General features: G+C 34.5%; 1 annotated feature.

The window, feature by feature from the left end:
- Nucleotides 3,594–4,093: an enhancer, noted in NCBI's record as "H3K4me1 hESC enhancer chr13:85406265-85406764 (GRCh37/hg19 assembly coordinates)". NCBI's record gives its function as "activates a minimal SCP1, AML or CMV promoter by ChIP-STARR-seq in naive H9 embryonic stem cells {active_cell/tissue: H9 hESC(naive)}" and the evidence as "EXISTENCE:reporter gene assay evidence [ECO:0000049][PMID:30033119]".

Here is a 17,201-nt window from a genome sequence, read left to right on the forward strand (position 1 = left end):
TAATTTACTTTCTCCCATTTGCCTTTTTCAGAAATTGCATAAAGATTCATATGGTATCTAGTCTCTTTGGTATGGCTTCTTTCAACTTAACCAATAATTATTGCAACTTAAAAAATTATTTTATTCCTTTCCAATTTAATTGCAAATGTAACTGGCAATGTTTGCACAGGATCTTCATAACTAAGTCTTCTTTTAATTACTATGTCATTGGGCTTATGCAAACACAATTTCACTAAAATATTGTGAAATTATTCTCTTTATCCAAATTTGTACTTTTTGTTTTCCTTTGACACTTGTTAATCTTCTTATAGAGAAAATTTATATTTCAGGTTTTTGAATCAAAATTAATGAAGACTAATATTTATAAATGTTTGCTAGTACACTTAATTATTGAAATCTATCTTCTAGAATGTGTCAACTTGTTTTGTGAAAAAACAAGATGTTAAAATTAATTCCAGATTCATTCAAGATATAAACAGCAAAAATGAAAAGTACTTGATTTTTAACTGATTCTTAAAATTTATTTATCTGAGAGTTTTATTTATTTATTTATAATTTTCTATGCATATAATTATATTAGTTGTAAATAATAGGGCATACATGTAATAGAAAAATATCTCCTATTAGGAGATATATATGTGTTTCCAATCTGTATAATTTGTATTAAGTTTTTATTTGGCTTATTTTATTGGTTATAATCTGCAGTAAAATATTGAAGATGATAGTTATAAGAATTTGTTTTTCCTGATTTGCAAAATAATAGCTTTAAATATTTCATCAATAAATATAAATATTATGAAATGAATTTTTTTGATATACATTATCAGCTTTAGGAGTGTTCTAATAATTACAATCATGAATGATGGGTTTTAAATATAATAAACTTTGTTTACCTGGAATTATAAGGAGATCATATTACTTTTCTTCTTTTTTAAATTTTTCTTCTGTAATATCTTTTATAAACCAATTATAATAGCATTACATAATAGAATAGTAAGAATAGGAGCCAATTAGAAATACCTATATATAGTTTCTTTCCCCCTTAAAACAAAATTTTACTCTTATAACAGTAATATCAGTGGCTTTTTCACTATTGTCTTACTTTTCATGATGCATTTACAATTATGTCACCTACAGGCTTATCTCTCAGATTTGAGTTTCTATTACACTTCTTTATTAACTGGAACAAGTGTTCTTTGTAGCATAAGCCATTCTCTATTGTGTAGTAAGAAAGTTTTAAAAACAAGCTCTGTTAGAAAGCAACTTAATATAGTTAATACTTAAGTGTGGGCTGAGAAGGGTAATGGAAATACATCAATGGCCAAAGAGTGGAAATTTGTTCATGTAAAAAAAAAAATGATCACTTCACTTTACTTGAAAATATGTGTTTTTTAGGGCATTAAGACAATTATGATGCTATAAATTAGGTTATACAGGTATGCTAAAGAGATGGTTTCAGTGTAAATATGAGTTTTCAATAGAACCTACTGAAAATGGTTTAATCCAAAGATGTGAATACTATATTTGAATCCTGATAAATGACAAAGTTGAAATAATAATGCATCAGTAAAGAAAAAATAAAATCTGTATATTTTTGTTTTTTAAATATACATGTATAATTTATTATTTTAGAAAGGGAATAATGGAAATATTTTAAAGAACTGTTAAGAAAAAAACACAATTGGACATTAGTTCAAACAATATAAAATGTTTTTTTTACAGAAAATATTGCAATAGGGGAAAAGGGACCTCAGCATAGAGCTGTGATCAGTTCCTGAAGACAGCATGGACAAGCTGGGATTTATAGCCAAGGACCAGGCTGGAGGTCTGCTGATGGAAAATAGCCAAGAGGAAACATTAAAGGTAAGGAAAGATTTATTTGACAGGATTTGTCCTGAAGGCAGGCCAGGGTGATCAAATTTCACCTGAAGAATGGTGAGGGAGGGGGAATTCTATCAGCTATCAAAAGTGATCAGATAGTAAATGTGGGTGGTTCTCTCTAAACTGACAGCAAGATTCTTACTAGAAATGGAAAATGTACCCCATGTTACACTATGCAGCCATAAAAAGGAATGAGATCCTGTCCTTTGCAGGGACCTGGATGGAGCTGGAAGCCATTATCCTCAGCAAACAAATGCAAGAACAGAAAATCAAATACCACATGTTCTCACTTATAAGTGGGAGTTGAATGATGAGAACATGTGAACACGGGGTCGGGGAGGGGGAACGACACACACCAGGGCTGTCAGAGGCTGGAGGGTGGGAGGAGGCAGAGCATCAGGAAGAATAGCTAATGGATGCTGGGCTTAATACCTAGGTGATGGGATGATCTGTGCAGGTAATCACAATGGCACACATATAACTATGTAGCAAACCTGCACATCCTGCACATGTACCCCTGAACTTAAACTAAAAGTTGGAAATATATTTTTAAAAAAGAAATGGAAAATGTAAAACTGATAAGGTAAGATGCCAATGTCAAGGCCTAGAAGGCTTAGATGAGCCTAACTAAAGTGTGGTCAAGGATAGAGTCTTCTGAAAATTATGTGAAAATATAATGAATGCTAGTTTATAAAAGAGTTAACAATTCATGCAGATACATAAAAAGCATGAAGTAATTATTAGCAATATGTGTTGTCTTTATTTTGTTGTCTCTTTGCAAACTTTTTACTCAATGATTCCTCTGATAACAAGTTATGGGAGAACCATTTGGAGAAAAAGTTGCCAGTGCTGTGATATGTCTGTTGGGTTTTATGAGATATAACGACTTTCAGATTGAACTATTAGTGTATGTAAAGCTAAGCTTAAATGAATATTGCTACCAGAGTTAAGCACTACCAGAGTTATGGAGTAAAAACGGAAAGGCTATGCCTCCATGAAAGCAACAAGAACAAGAACACTGGTAAAAACTGTCAAAATTAACACTTGTAGAATTTGAGAAATTGGCCAAATATTTGAAAAAATCTGAAGACATGTATGTAACAAAAATGGTTGAAACCCGGTGAAAACAGAAAGTTCGCTAGCATTTTACTCTCTTTCTATACATCCCTTCCCTGCTCCTTCCTGGCTTTGAAACCAACTGTTTCATGACTATACTAGTTTTGAAAAATAGCTACTCAAAGCAACTAGCATAGGTCCATTTTGGAGCCCCCCCATTAACCCAATCTCCAGAGAATTATCGATGGCAGCGATGGTCTGGAGCAGCCTCTGCGAAGACGCAGCAGGGCTGCAGCAGGTGAGGTGCAGCTGGGTCTGCACACTCCACAGACCCCACCAGAGCCAGGCACAGACAGGAGCACCGCCCCCTACTGAGTTAAAAGGGCAGGAGCTCCGCACTCCCAGACACAGCTGCAGCCACATGGCTAGGGCGCTGTACCTGGGCAACCTTGAGCTCTCATTGCGCAGGAAGCCACCTCTGCCCCTGTAGGCTTGGAAGTGCCTGCTCCCACTCCCTGGCCTCTCCCCACTCCCCCGCGCCCACTCCAATTTTGTAGCAAAGTTGTAGTCAAGCCTGGATATTTGTCGCAACCCAGCGGGGTGTGCAAATGTTTGGGGCAGCAGGGACATCAGAGCCCCTCCCCCTACCCGCGGCCCCCGCTACTTGGCTGCCTGTGAAGCTTTGAGCACAAACAAGCTCAGCTCCCCACCTCCCCTGCCACTTGCCACGTTGTGGGCCACCATAAGGAGTCCCAGACCTAGGAGATCCCCGAGCCAGGGCTGTAACACCCTCTTTCGGGCTCTGCGGTTCCTGGCATCTCCAAGCTTCTGGGCAGCAAGGCGTTCCCTTTGTCCAGACTCAGGGGAGCACAGAGGAAACTGAGTGCGGTACATCTGGCGGAGTTGCAGTCTCACAGGGAGCCAGCACCTGTGCCAGAGCCCCAAGCTGCCCGCCCCGTCACAGCAGCCTTTGTGAATGGCTGTGCCTAGTAGCCAGACCCCGCACTCCCTCACCCACACACCCCTCATTGCTCCATGCCTGGCTCACCCTAGGCAGATGTGGGATGCTGGTGGGTAATGTGAGCTGAGCACAACTTGCCAGGCTGAGTGGGCAGAACAAGCCCAGTGGGCACAAGCAATACTCAGGCAGAAGGTGTCGCCAGCTATAGAGTTTCCCGGCTAGCAAAGCAACACTCCAAGGATCCCGTGACATTATCATTATTTTTTATTAATATTGATAATTGTTAATCAACCAATTAGTGATTCAGCACGGGAGTTAAATATAAGATAAACATACAGAAATCAATTTTTAAATATACTGGTAATATGAGTTAAAAAATGGAAATGTTAACATGATATAAATTAAAATTGCACCAAAACCCACCTAATACATATAAGTTATTCTACAAAACATTGCTGAAAGAATTGTTTTAATATATAAATATATACATATTTATTTTAGTAGTTTTTTGGGGAACAGGTGGTGTTTGGTTACATGAATAAGTTCTTTCATGGTGATTTCTGAGATTTTGGTGCACCCATCACCCAAGCAGTGTACTGTACCCAATGTGTAGTCTATTAACCCTCATCCCCCTCCCATCCCCGGCCCCCAAAGTCCATTGTATCATTCTTATGCCTTTGCATCCTCATAATTTAGCTACCACTTATAAGTGAGAACATACAATGTTTGTTTTGTCATTGCTGAGTTACTTCACTTAGAATAATGGTCTCCAGTTCCATCTATATTGCTGCAAGTGCCATTATTTCATTCTTTTTTATGGCTGAATAGTATTCCATGGTATATATATATATTCCATTTTCTTTATCCACTAGTTGATTGATGGACATTTGGGCTGGTTCCATATTTTTTGCAATTGAAAATTGTGCTGTTTTCAACATGTGTGTGCAAGTATATTTTTCATATAAAGACTTCCGTTCCTCTGTGTAGATACCCAGGAGTGGGACTGCAGGATCAAATGGTAGATCTACTTTTACTTCTTTAAGAAATCTCCACACTGTTTTTCATAGTGATTGTACTAGTATACATTCCTACCAACAGTGTAAAAGTTTTCCCCTTTCACCACATCCATGCCAACATCTATTTTTTTTTGATTTTTTAAATACGGCCATTCTTGCAGGGGTAAGGTGATATCACATTGTGGTTTTGATTTTTATTTCCCTGATAATTAGTGATGTTAAGCATTTTTCATATGTTTGTTGGTCGTCTTTATATCTCCTTTTGAGAATTGTCTATTAATGTCCTTAGCCTACTTTTTTATGGGATTGTTTTTTTTCCTTGCTGATTTGTTTGAGTTCCTTGTACATTCTGGATATTAGTCCTTTGTTGGATGTATAGATTGTGATGATTTTCTCCCACTCTGTGGGTTGTCTGTTTAATTTGCTAGTCATTTATTTTGCTGTGAAAAAGCTTTTTAGTTTGTTAAGTTCCATCTATTTATCTTTGTGTTTGTTGCATTTGCTTTTGGGTTCTTGGTCATGAAATTTTTGCCTAAGCCAATGTCTAGAAGGGTTTTTCCAATGTTATATTCTAGAATTTTTATGGTTTCATGTCTTAGATATAAGTCTTTGATCCATCTTGGGTTATTTTTTATATAAGGTGAGAGATGAGGATCCAGTTTCATTCTTCGATATGCGGCTTGCCAATTATTCCAGGACCATTTGTTGAATAAATTGTCCTTTCCCCACTGTATGTTTTTGTTTGCTTTGTCGAAGATCAGCTGACTATAAGTATTGGCTTTATTTCAGGGTTCTCTATTCTATTCCATTGGTCTATATGCCTGCTTTTATACCAGTCCCATGCTGTTTTGGTGACTATGGCCTTATGGTATCGTTTGAAGTTGGGTAATGTAATGCTTCAGGATTTGTTATTTTTGCTTAGTCTTGCTTTGGGTATGCAGGCTCTTTTTTGGTTCAATATGCATTTTAGGATTGCTTTTTCTAGTTTTGTGAAGAATGTTGGTGGTATTTTTATGAGAATTGCAATGAATTTGTAGGTTGCTTTTGGCAGCAATCTACAAATGGTCATTTTCACAATATTGAGTCTGCCCATCCATGAGCATGGGATGTGTTTCCATTTGTTTGTGTCATCTATGATTTCTTTCAGCAATGTTTTGTAGTTTTCCTTGTACAGGTCTTTACCTCCTTGGTTAAATATATTCCTAAGTATTTTATTTTATTTATTTTGCAGCTATTGTAAAATGGTTTGAGTTATTGATTTGACTCTTAGCTTGGTCACTGTTGGTGTATAGCAGGGCTACCGATTTGTGTACGTGAATTTTGTATCCTGAAAATTTGCTGAATTCATTTATCAGTTCCAGGAGTTTTTTGAATAAATCTTTAGGATTTTTTAGGCATATAAGAAAATAGAAAGACAATATGAGATTATCTTATCTGTCTGGAAACTGTCTGTGAAGCTCCTTTCCCAGGCCTTATCTTTATTAAATCTAACTAAAGCTTTTTCTATGTGAATACACTTATATATACGGCATTTATCAAATACAATCTGTAGTAGTTGTTTAACCCTCAAAGTTGTCTGAGAGGTCAATACGACTTCAGTCTCACAAATGGCTATTAAAAGTTTTAAAAGGAAAAACAAGGGAATAAGATACCCACACAGGCAGCGAGGGGTGGCTTATGCCTGTAATCCCAGCACTTTGGAAGGCTGGGATGAGTGTATCACTTGAGGTAGGAGTTCCAGACCACCTTGGCCAACACGGTAAAACCCCACCTCTACTAAAAATACAAAAATTTGCTGGAGATGGTGGCATATGCCTGTAGTCCCAGCTACTCGGGAGGCTGAGACACAAGAATCCTTGAACCTGGGAGGCAGAGGTTGCAGTGATTCTAGATTATGCCACTGAACTCCACCCTGGGCAACAGACCAAGACTCTGTCTCAAAAAAAAATTATATATATAAAACCACAGGGAGATTTACAAACCTCCAATCTATTCTGGGGAATTTTGAAGGCCACCTCTATGTGCAGGGATGTGTGCATGATAAAGAGCTGAAAATGTCCTAATATCTTACCTCTGGATAACCTTGTACTTCACTTAAGGAAAAGCGAAGACTAGTACATGAATTATGAAAATAAGGAATGAAACAGTGGCATTATTTTGCACCTAAAGAAGGAGAAATTATTTTTAGGAATGCAATAAAGAAATTTATACCAATAAACAAGTGAATCAGATGAAATGGATATATCCCTATAAAGACATAAGATTAAAAACTGACTCAAGAAGAAATTTTAAAAAATGAATAGAAATATAAAAAGTGAAGAGATTGAATCAGTAACGTAAAATTTTCCACGAAAAAAATCCCAGGCCCAGGTGACTTAATTGATGAATTCTGTCAAGCATTTAAGGGCAAATTAACATTAATCCTTAGAAAACTCTTCCAAAACACAGAATGAGAAAACACCTCCATATTAATTCTATGAGATCAATATATTAAATTCCAAATGTGACCAAAATATTGTGAGAAAATAAGACTGCAGACATGTATCCCTTATAAATAAAGATGCAAAAATCCTCAAAAAATGCTAGCAGCTGGATCCTGCAATATATGAGAAGTATTTATACATTAGTTCCAGGTGGGATTTATCCCAAGATTTGTTTAACATACAAAAACAAATCAGTTTAATGTGCCACATTAATAGAATAAAGAATAAAAAATACATGATCTCAAAGGGTAGAGAACAAAGCATTTAACATGTTAAACCAATGTGTATGATTAAAGAACACAGATAATTCAGAATAGAAAAGAGCTTGTTCAACCTCATAAAAGGTATCTATGAAAAACCAACAACAAACATACTTGATGGTGATAAAGGAATGCTTTCCCTCAAAGATCAGGAAAAACACAAGGATAGCTGCTCTTGATACTTATATTCACTATTGAAGTTGAGGTTCTAGCCAGAGCACTTGGGTAATAATAAAAAACTGGACCGACATTGGAAAGAAAGAAGACAAACTATCTGTATTCATAGGTGTCATGATCTTGCACATAGAAAATCCTAAGGAATTCACTAAAATAATACCCTTAGAATGAATCAGTTTGATACAATTATAGATTGATGTACAGAATTCAATTATATTTCTATACACTAAAAATGCCCAATCAGAAAATGAAATTAAGAAATTAGTTCCATTTATAATAAAATCAAAAAGAATGACTCATTTAGAAAAAAAATCAACAAAACTGGTAGAAAACTTGTACACTGAATATTATTAAACATTGTTGAAACATAATAAACCTAAGTTAATGTAGGAACTCCCATACTTAATGCTTGGAAATAATACTTTTAAGATGGCAATACTCTGAAAATTGATCTACCATCTAAACACAATCTATTAAAATCCCAACAGTTTGCTTTTCGAATTTTATACCTTATCCTAAATTTCATACAGAAATTCAAGGGTCACAGAGTAGCCAAAACAGCCTTAAATACGAAGAACAATGTTAGAGTATTCACGCTCACTGATTTCAAAACATATAAAAAGCTCACTAACCAAGATGGTGGTAATGTGTTAGGCTTAACATACAGATAAAGAGAACAGACTTGTAAGTCCATAGATAAATGCCTAAATATGGTCAATTCAACTTTGATGAAGGTGCAAAAAATTCAATGAAACAATAATAGTGTTTTGAACAAATGGTGCTAGGACAACTGAATATCCATGCACAAATAAATGCAGTTGACATTTTCATGCAATACACAAAAATTAACTCAAAATAAACTATAAGCCAAAATATAAATGATAAAATGATAAAGAACTTAGTTCAAATGGGGTAAATATTTGAGACATTGGGTTTGGAAATGGCTTCTTTAATATGACACCAAAACCACAAGCAACAAAAGAAAAACAATGATGAATTGGATTTCATCAAATTTCAACACTTTTCTTTTCCAAAAGAGGCCATCAAAAATTAAAATACATGCAAAGAAAGGAAAAAAAATCAAATTACACATTTTTAAGGTATTTTTGTATAAAATATATAAAAATCACTTAGAAATTTACAGTAAAAATCAAATAACCTAATTATTCTTTTAAATAGACATTTATTTAAAGAAGTTTTATGGCCGGGCACGGTGGCTCACGCCTGTAATCCCAGCACTTTGGGAGGCCAAGGCGGGAGGATCACGAGTTCAGGAGATCGAGACCATCCTGGCTAACACGGTGAAACACGGTCTCTATTCTACTAAAAATACAAAAAGTTAGCCGGGCGTGGTGGTGGGCGCCTGTAGTCCCCGCTACTCAGGAGGCTGAGGTGAGAGAATGGCATGAACCCCAGAGGCGGAGCTTGCAGTGAACCGAGATGCGCCACTGCACTCCAGCCTGGGCGAAAGAGCGAGACTCCATCTCAAAAAAAGAAAGAAAAGAAAGAAACGAAAAAAGAAGTTTTACCCAAATAGCAACAAGTAGGTGAAAAGATGCTTAAAATTATTAGTCATTAGGCAAATGCAAATCAAAAACCCACAAAATATCACCTCATACTTATGAAGATATGTAAAATAAAAAAACAGAGAATAGTGTAAAACAGATATATGCAAGAAATTGAAACTTTCATACATTACTGATGGGATTGAAAAATGGTGCAGTCACTTCAGAAAAGTTTCATACTTATGAAGATATGTAAAATAAAAAAATAGACAATAGTGTAAAATACAGATATATGCAATAAATTGAAACTTTCATACATTACTGATGAGATTCAAAAATGGTGCCATCACTTCAGAAAACAGTTTGGCAGTTCTTCAAAATGATAAATATACAGTTGTAATATGATCCAGTAATTTCAGTCCTAGGTATTTACTAAAGAAAATTAGAACTATATGTCCATACAAAAACATGTATATACAAATGTACACAGCAACATTATTTATAATAGCCCAGGTATAGAAACCACTCAAATGGCCATCATTGGAGAAATAGATACACAAAATGTTATGTATCTATGCAATGGAAAATTAGCCAGCCAGAAGAAGTAATGAAGTACTGATACATGCTACAAGATGGGTGAACCTTGAAAACCTTATGGCAATTGGAAGAAATCAGGCACAAAAAGTAACATATTATATGATTACATTGATATAAAATGTCCAGAATAGACAAATGCTCAAGTACAGAAAATGGAAGAGTGTTTGTGAGGGACAGTTCTGGTGAAGCAGGAATGGGGAATGACTACTAAACAGGTATGAGCTTTCTTTCTGGGATGACAGAGAAGTCCTATAAAATAAGATAGTAGAGATGGTTGCACAACTTTACAAGTTCACTAAGAACCACTGGATTGCACTCTAAATACATTCATTTTACAATATGTGCATTATATTTCAAAAACTGTTATACAGAGAGGGCAAAATGTTTCAAAAAATAGCACTCAAGGCAAGATGCAGACCATTCTATGTGTAATAAATAGTATAAATCTGTGGTTTAATTATCTTTGGAGTGAAGAGAATAAAAGTAGTGAACATTCAAAACAGTATTTGTTTACTCTGTGAATATAAGGTATATCTACAAAATACAAAGTGAAAGTATTTAGTGTAGATATATATCTTTCTGATATACTTGTGCCCTATACCTGAGGTCTAACTTTAAGATAATTTAGAGTGATCACTAATGAAGAAAATATTGATATGACATCAGGAAAGTTACATAGTATTTTAGCTACAATTGTTGGGTCAGTGCAAATTCATAACTTTAGAAATCAAAAAAAAAAAAAAAAAACACAAAAGGCCGGGTGCAGTGGCTCACACCTGTAATCCCAGCACTTTGGAAGCCGAGACAGGTGGATCACGAGGTCAGGAGTTCAAGACCAGCCTGACCAATACGGTGAAACCCCGTCTCTACTAAAAATACAAAAATTAACCAGGCATGGTGGCGTGCACCTGCAGTCCCCGCAACTTGGGAGGCTGAGGCAGGAGAATCGCTTGAACCCGGGAGGCGGAGGTTGCAGTGAGCCAAGATATTGTCACTGCACTCCAGCCTAGGAGACAGAACAAGACTCCATCTCAAAAAAAAAAAAGTATCCAATCCTCAGGTAGTTTCTTATCTTACCCAATCATATAAAACCTTTAATGTTCACACAGGAAATTTAGATATAATAATGTGAGCTGAAAAATTTGTGGGAGCAAGAGCAGGTGTTTGGATGATCCCAGCTGTTAAAATGAAAAAACCATTTAAAGCTAGAGATAGGATGATTACTTTTGAGAAATGGTATTTGTAAATGTGTTACTACTTGGTACAGTGAAAGAAAAATATGTCAGATATTTATTATAACAAAATAATTATTATCTCTGTCTATAGTAGTTGTCTCCTTAATGACGTGTCTCTACCAAAAAAAGGGATCAAATCAGTGTTATTTTCATTAGTTTACTATGTTTTCATTTAATTATAAGACATTGTTATTCTTCTTTTCTCTTGGTATTATATCCTGGCAGGAAAGTAATAACATAGAAAAATATATGAAACAATAAAAAAAGGTGGAATATTTTTAATAGACTAAATTTTACAAAGAAATTGTAACTGCAGAAGAAAAAAATGAGAAAAATAGGGACATACCAAGAAGAAATATTGATAAGAGGGGCCTCTGAATGTAGAAGAAAGGGAATAATACTAGCTTTAATTGTAAAAATTGATGCAGCTGACTGCATCAATAAATTCAAAAGAAATTTCATTTTAGCCTATCCTTTGAAGACAAAAATATCAAAGGGTAGCAAACAAAAATTATGAAAGTTTTATTTTTAGTAAAAAGTTCATGATACCAAAATTTAAGTGTATAATTAAAGCTGTATTTCATATACTCTACATCCAAATATCCTGATCCTCAGACTGTCACTTTACATTAATGATACTAATGAGAAAACCACAGGCAAATGTGGTAAATAGTAATTAGGAACTAATACTCAGCCTGCATCCCCTCCCAGAGGCCATTTCTGTGTTGTGAAACTGTTTTTACACAGTTTAAGTTTCACCCCTGGGCAGATTTCCTTATGGTCAAGAGTGAAGTTGGAAACTAGCATGTTTAACAAATGTGATGTTGTAAAGGGTAAATGCATTACATGTATAAAAGCTGACATGCTGGACAATGAGCTCCCAGGTATAGATGAACTGTTACTTCTCCTTTTGGCTTGAGTTGTAGGTAATAAATCTATTCCTATCTATTCATGTTGCCTTAACTATTCTACTCCAACATAACTGCATGAAATGAAATTTAAAAAATTCCACTACTGGTAAATGATTATTTTCCTTATGCTCTGTGCTAATATTCAGACCCATCTAGCACCCTGTCATTTGGATAATTCGGCCTGCACATCTCTTATCTGCATGCATGAATCTAGGGATGGTACAAACATTATATGTGAAATAAAGAAAGCTACAAAATTATACATATGTAATTTATATTTGTATGTATATATTTGATCTATAGATAAAATAACCTGTTATTTATATGAGTATAACTTGATATAGAAATTTGAATAAAATTTTAGCACCGTTAAACATGAGGTGATATTGAAGAGCACACACATATTTTTGTGTTTTTCTTATTTACATTTTAAAAATAAACATGTGTTTTTAATTTAATCTAATTACTTTCAACGAATGAGTCAATTGTAGTCAATAATAGAGGTTAGCATTTTCCCACCTTGCTTCCAGTTGCCAGGTTTTGTAGAATCCAGAGAGAAACTGATTATGGCAAAGTTAATGGCTGTGGAGTTTGATGAAATAGCAATGCTGGAAGAAATGTGGCAGAAAAATCAGACGAGCTCCATGGTGATAAGTGTAATTCACTTCCTGTTGAAATGCATGTTTCCTTTGATGCAATTTTTGGTACCTAAACTCTCTCAAAGTTTGAAAAATACAAATAATTTGGTATAATTTTCATTTTTCAAGGCAGTGATTTAATTAAGTACAAGATATTCAATTATTTAAAACTCAAATAATGTACCTTTAACTTCACACATTTTTTGTTTATTAAGATAGCAGAAGGCTTCACCTAAAAGAGAAAAGAATTTTTTTTAGGAATGAAATCTCTAAATTAGAGTTAGTTGTATATAGCCTTCTTTACCCTTCCTTTCCTACTCCTCTGACCAAGAAGAAATAGTGGGCAAAGGCAGAATTGTTACCATTACATTGATAGTATCTTACATTAATAAATCCTAAATCTTTTGCTTTTCTATATTTCCTTCTTGTATTTCCTCGCATTAAAATTGTAAAATAAATTTGTTAGATACATGTCCCTAGTTAAAGATTGGCTTGAAAACACCTACCTTTTTATCTCTTTTATCAAAATATATATTCACATATATTAGGTATTATATATTTCTGTTTAATTGACTTGGTCATTTTTTATCAATATGTGATGCATTTCTGTTTATTCCCTACTGATACCTATTGAGAAGGATATATCACAATATTATTTCTTACAGTATTATGTGAAATATTTTCTGATATTAGATTTCAGTACTTCTCTACAAAACAAGCAAACAAAGTTAATCTGGCTAAACTATATAACCTCTATGTATCACTACATAATTCTTTCTCAGTGCTTTTTCAGAATTAGAATGTTTATATGTAAAGAAGTGCTTTTTACATTGTCTGACACATAGAAGATACTTAACCAGTGTTTGTTCTATTTTATTAATGCTGTTGGTTGTTGTTGTTGTCGTTGTTTTAGAGATGGAGTCTCACTCTGTCACCCAGGCTGGAGTGTAGTGACACGAACATAGCTCACTGCAGTTTCGAACTTCCGGGCTCAAGCAATCCTCCTGCCTCAGTCTCCTGAGTAGCAAGAACCACAGGTGTGTACACCACCATGCCCTGCTCATTTGTTATTTTTTTCTGTAGAGACAGGGTCTTACTATGTTGCCCAGGCTAGTCTCAAACTCCTGGGCTCAAGTGATTCTCCCATCTTGGCCTCCTAAAACTTTGGGATTACAGGTATAAGGCACTGACTCAGCTATTCTCCAGTCATACAACTATGTAATTATTGAGAGATTATCATGAATTGATTCTGTGGTAGCGGGTACATCTTATGTAAACTTCAGCTTTACTGGTGTCTGCTACTCGCTTGTTTAATTTCAGTGACTCTGCTGCTCTCATTTTGATCTCAGTCATGTATAGTATCAACATTTTCTTGCACTTTCTGTATTCGGCTTGTTTGTAAGCTACTCACAATTATTTCATGTAAGAAGGTTTCCACGTTCTTTCATATGGCATTATGCCCTATTGCCTTAAGGGCTGAGAGTTAATAGCAAAGACCCCAAGAATAAACACTACAGTTTCTGTGACTACAACATTTTACAAACTTTTATTTGCTATTTTTTAAAATATCTCCACCTGCCCAACATATATTTATTACCTATTGCTTTAATATTATGCATCTCCATTAATATAAAATACGTTGTATTCCTCTGACAGATCATTTGGGGATTCTTTAAAAAATATTCCATGCCCATTTATTTTTCCGTTCAACTATCAGATAAACCATGGCCAATGAATGGTTTGAATGTCTTTGGTGCTAACCCTTATGGTATTGTGCAGGCTTTAGGGACACATAATACAACAAAATGTTTTATAAATCAAAACTTGTTAAGAAACCAGCGGTCCTGTGACACATATATTGACCTAGAGTGCTCAGATATATTGAATACTTTTCCAGATAACTTTTTAAAAATAATGGCCAAATAAAATTAAAATTCTGCACTGATTTGAAAGTACATAATCAGCATACTGCTTGAATATCTTTATGCTGTGTACAGGAAACCATTTCCTCAATGGACTCATTCCCTCTAGGTCTATTTTTGGATGATTTGGTTGGGGTATTTTAAATTCACCTTCCCTATCCCCTAGTAATATTTAGCATTCCCCTAGAGAATGTGAATTCATTCATCCTGAAATATCCATTGATGACAACATCATTATTGATTTTACCTGTATTGGGATGATATGGCAATTATGTAAAGGCATAATCTGTTTAGGTATCTATGTTAGAGACATTTGGCATAAAGAAAATTTTACATTTTGCAAATAGCTTAGTCATTCATTCAATCACACAACTATATATTTACTGTGAGGTTATTATGACTCAGAACTATGGTGGCTGGTAGCAACGATTACACTTAATGACTGCTATCCTCTTTTTAATTTCAGTGGTGTCTCTTTTGCTTTTATATTTTAGTGAGGTATAGTGTTAATAATTACTTGTGAGTTTTTATGTTCAGATTATTTGCAAGCTGCTCATAAACCTTTCATATAAACTGCCTTTTGCATTATTAGCAAAGCACAGAAATAGCTCACATGTTTAAAAATTTAAATCATTGAAAAAGAATTTTTTACTGTCTTCACAAATGTAAAATAAAAGACTATATGGTAAATTTCCATTTTAACTTCATATGCTTTATTTGAATTTTAGATATTTTGAAAAGTTAATATGAAATATGAATATGATTCGCAAGGCACAAGTGGTTCTCTTTCCAGATCCAGTGTCTGATAATACTTGGTAGGTTTTGATTCCCTAGACATATCCTAAAATTTTCCTTAGTTTTATTTTTACTTTTGCAATTTATGCAAACTGAAATGTATACTTGGATGAAAATATCCCAAGCATGTTATAAAATGAGCTCAAATTCTTTCATTCTCATGAAAACTTAATAGATTATTACAGTTGATATTGTACTTAGTAGAATTATTTGACATCTGTTTACATAAATTACATTCTCTGCAAAATTTTCAGTGTGCTGAGGGAGATAACTACTTTTTTACATGGTTTTCCCTCCTCAAATGTACACATATTAATTTGATTAAAATAGACCAATTAAATGAATGGAAAATAAACTTTCCTCCTAATTTTTTGGGAATAAACTATTTCAAACTTAGTCGTCAATCAAGTATGAGAAACTGGTGCATGCTGACTTAGTTATAAATTTGCTTATTTTATTGATACCATATAGCATTTAACTTTATGTTCTCACTGAATTTTAATCCTATTAAAATTCTCCTGGCAGTTCTATTCAGAGAGAAAAGTTAGAATTTCTACAAAACTTAAAATTATTTATAGATGAGTATCTCAATATATTTTTGTTGAGATATATCTAGGAGGATAGTTTATGTTTAGTTGTTGAAATACATCAATATTGAGCTCTTGGTGTGTCTCAACCAAATAGCCACATAGGGGAGCTCTAACCCAGCAAAAGAATAAATCACCTGCTAAACAGGATACCAAAACAATATTTTTTTCTTTTCAAAATGAAATCCAAAGAGAGTTTTAGCCATTTTTACATTATTCCAATTATATTCTTTACATGCCTCTCAGAAATGTTTACCTGAAAATTACGTGTCACATTCAAAATGATTTACAGCAAAAGCCTTTTTCCCCCTGCTAACCTGTGTCTATTCTACATTAGCATGAAATTGCATTGCAATAGCTAGAGATTTTAGTTCAAAGCAATTATACTCAATAAAATGACTATGAATTTAGTTTGCCTGCAGTAACTGATGAATGGAAGTGTTCATTGACTGTATAAAGATAAAAATATGGCTGAGCCCAGTGGCTCATGTCTGTAATCCCAGCACTTTGTGAAGCCGAGGTGGGTGCATCACCTCTGGTCAGGAGTTTGAGACCAGACTGGCCAAAGTGGTGAAAGCCCATCTCTACTAAAAATACACACACAAAAAAAATTAGCCGTGCATGGTGGTGCATGCCTGAATCCCAGCTCCTTGGGCAGGAGGCAGGAGAATCACTTGAACCTGGGAGGCGGAAGTTGCAGTGAGGAGAGGTTGTGCTACTGCACCTCATCCTGGGAACCTGGGCAACAGAGTGAGTGAGATGCCGTCTCAGGAAAAAAAAAAAGTGGGGGGGGAGATGAAAGTATCAGAGCAAATCTTTAATAATGTATAGTTAATTCATGGTAAAAATGACTATTTTTAACTCTCTGTCCTATATTGAGTACATATTTCAACACTTTCTGCCTGTGTGGTAATTTTAACTGAACTAGAACATTTGTTTTGTGTTTTATATTATGCAGTTTAAGAATCCTGAATCCAAAAATCTGAAACCCAAAATGTTCCAAAATTCAAAACTTTTCAAATACCAACATGATGTTCAAATAAAATGCTCATTGAAACATTTCAGAGTTCAGATTTTGGAATAAAGGATGCTCAACCAGCATGTATAATACAAATATTGTAAAATCAAAAAAAAATTGAAATCTAAAACACTTGAAAACCATTTGGAAAAAGGAGAC

Source organism: Homo sapiens, chromosome 13 (assembly GCF_000001405.40).
Source record: "Homo sapiens chromosome 13, GRCh38.p14 Primary Assembly".
Taxonomy (NCBI): Eukaryota; Metazoa; Chordata; class Mammalia; order Primates; family Hominidae; genus Homo; species Homo sapiens.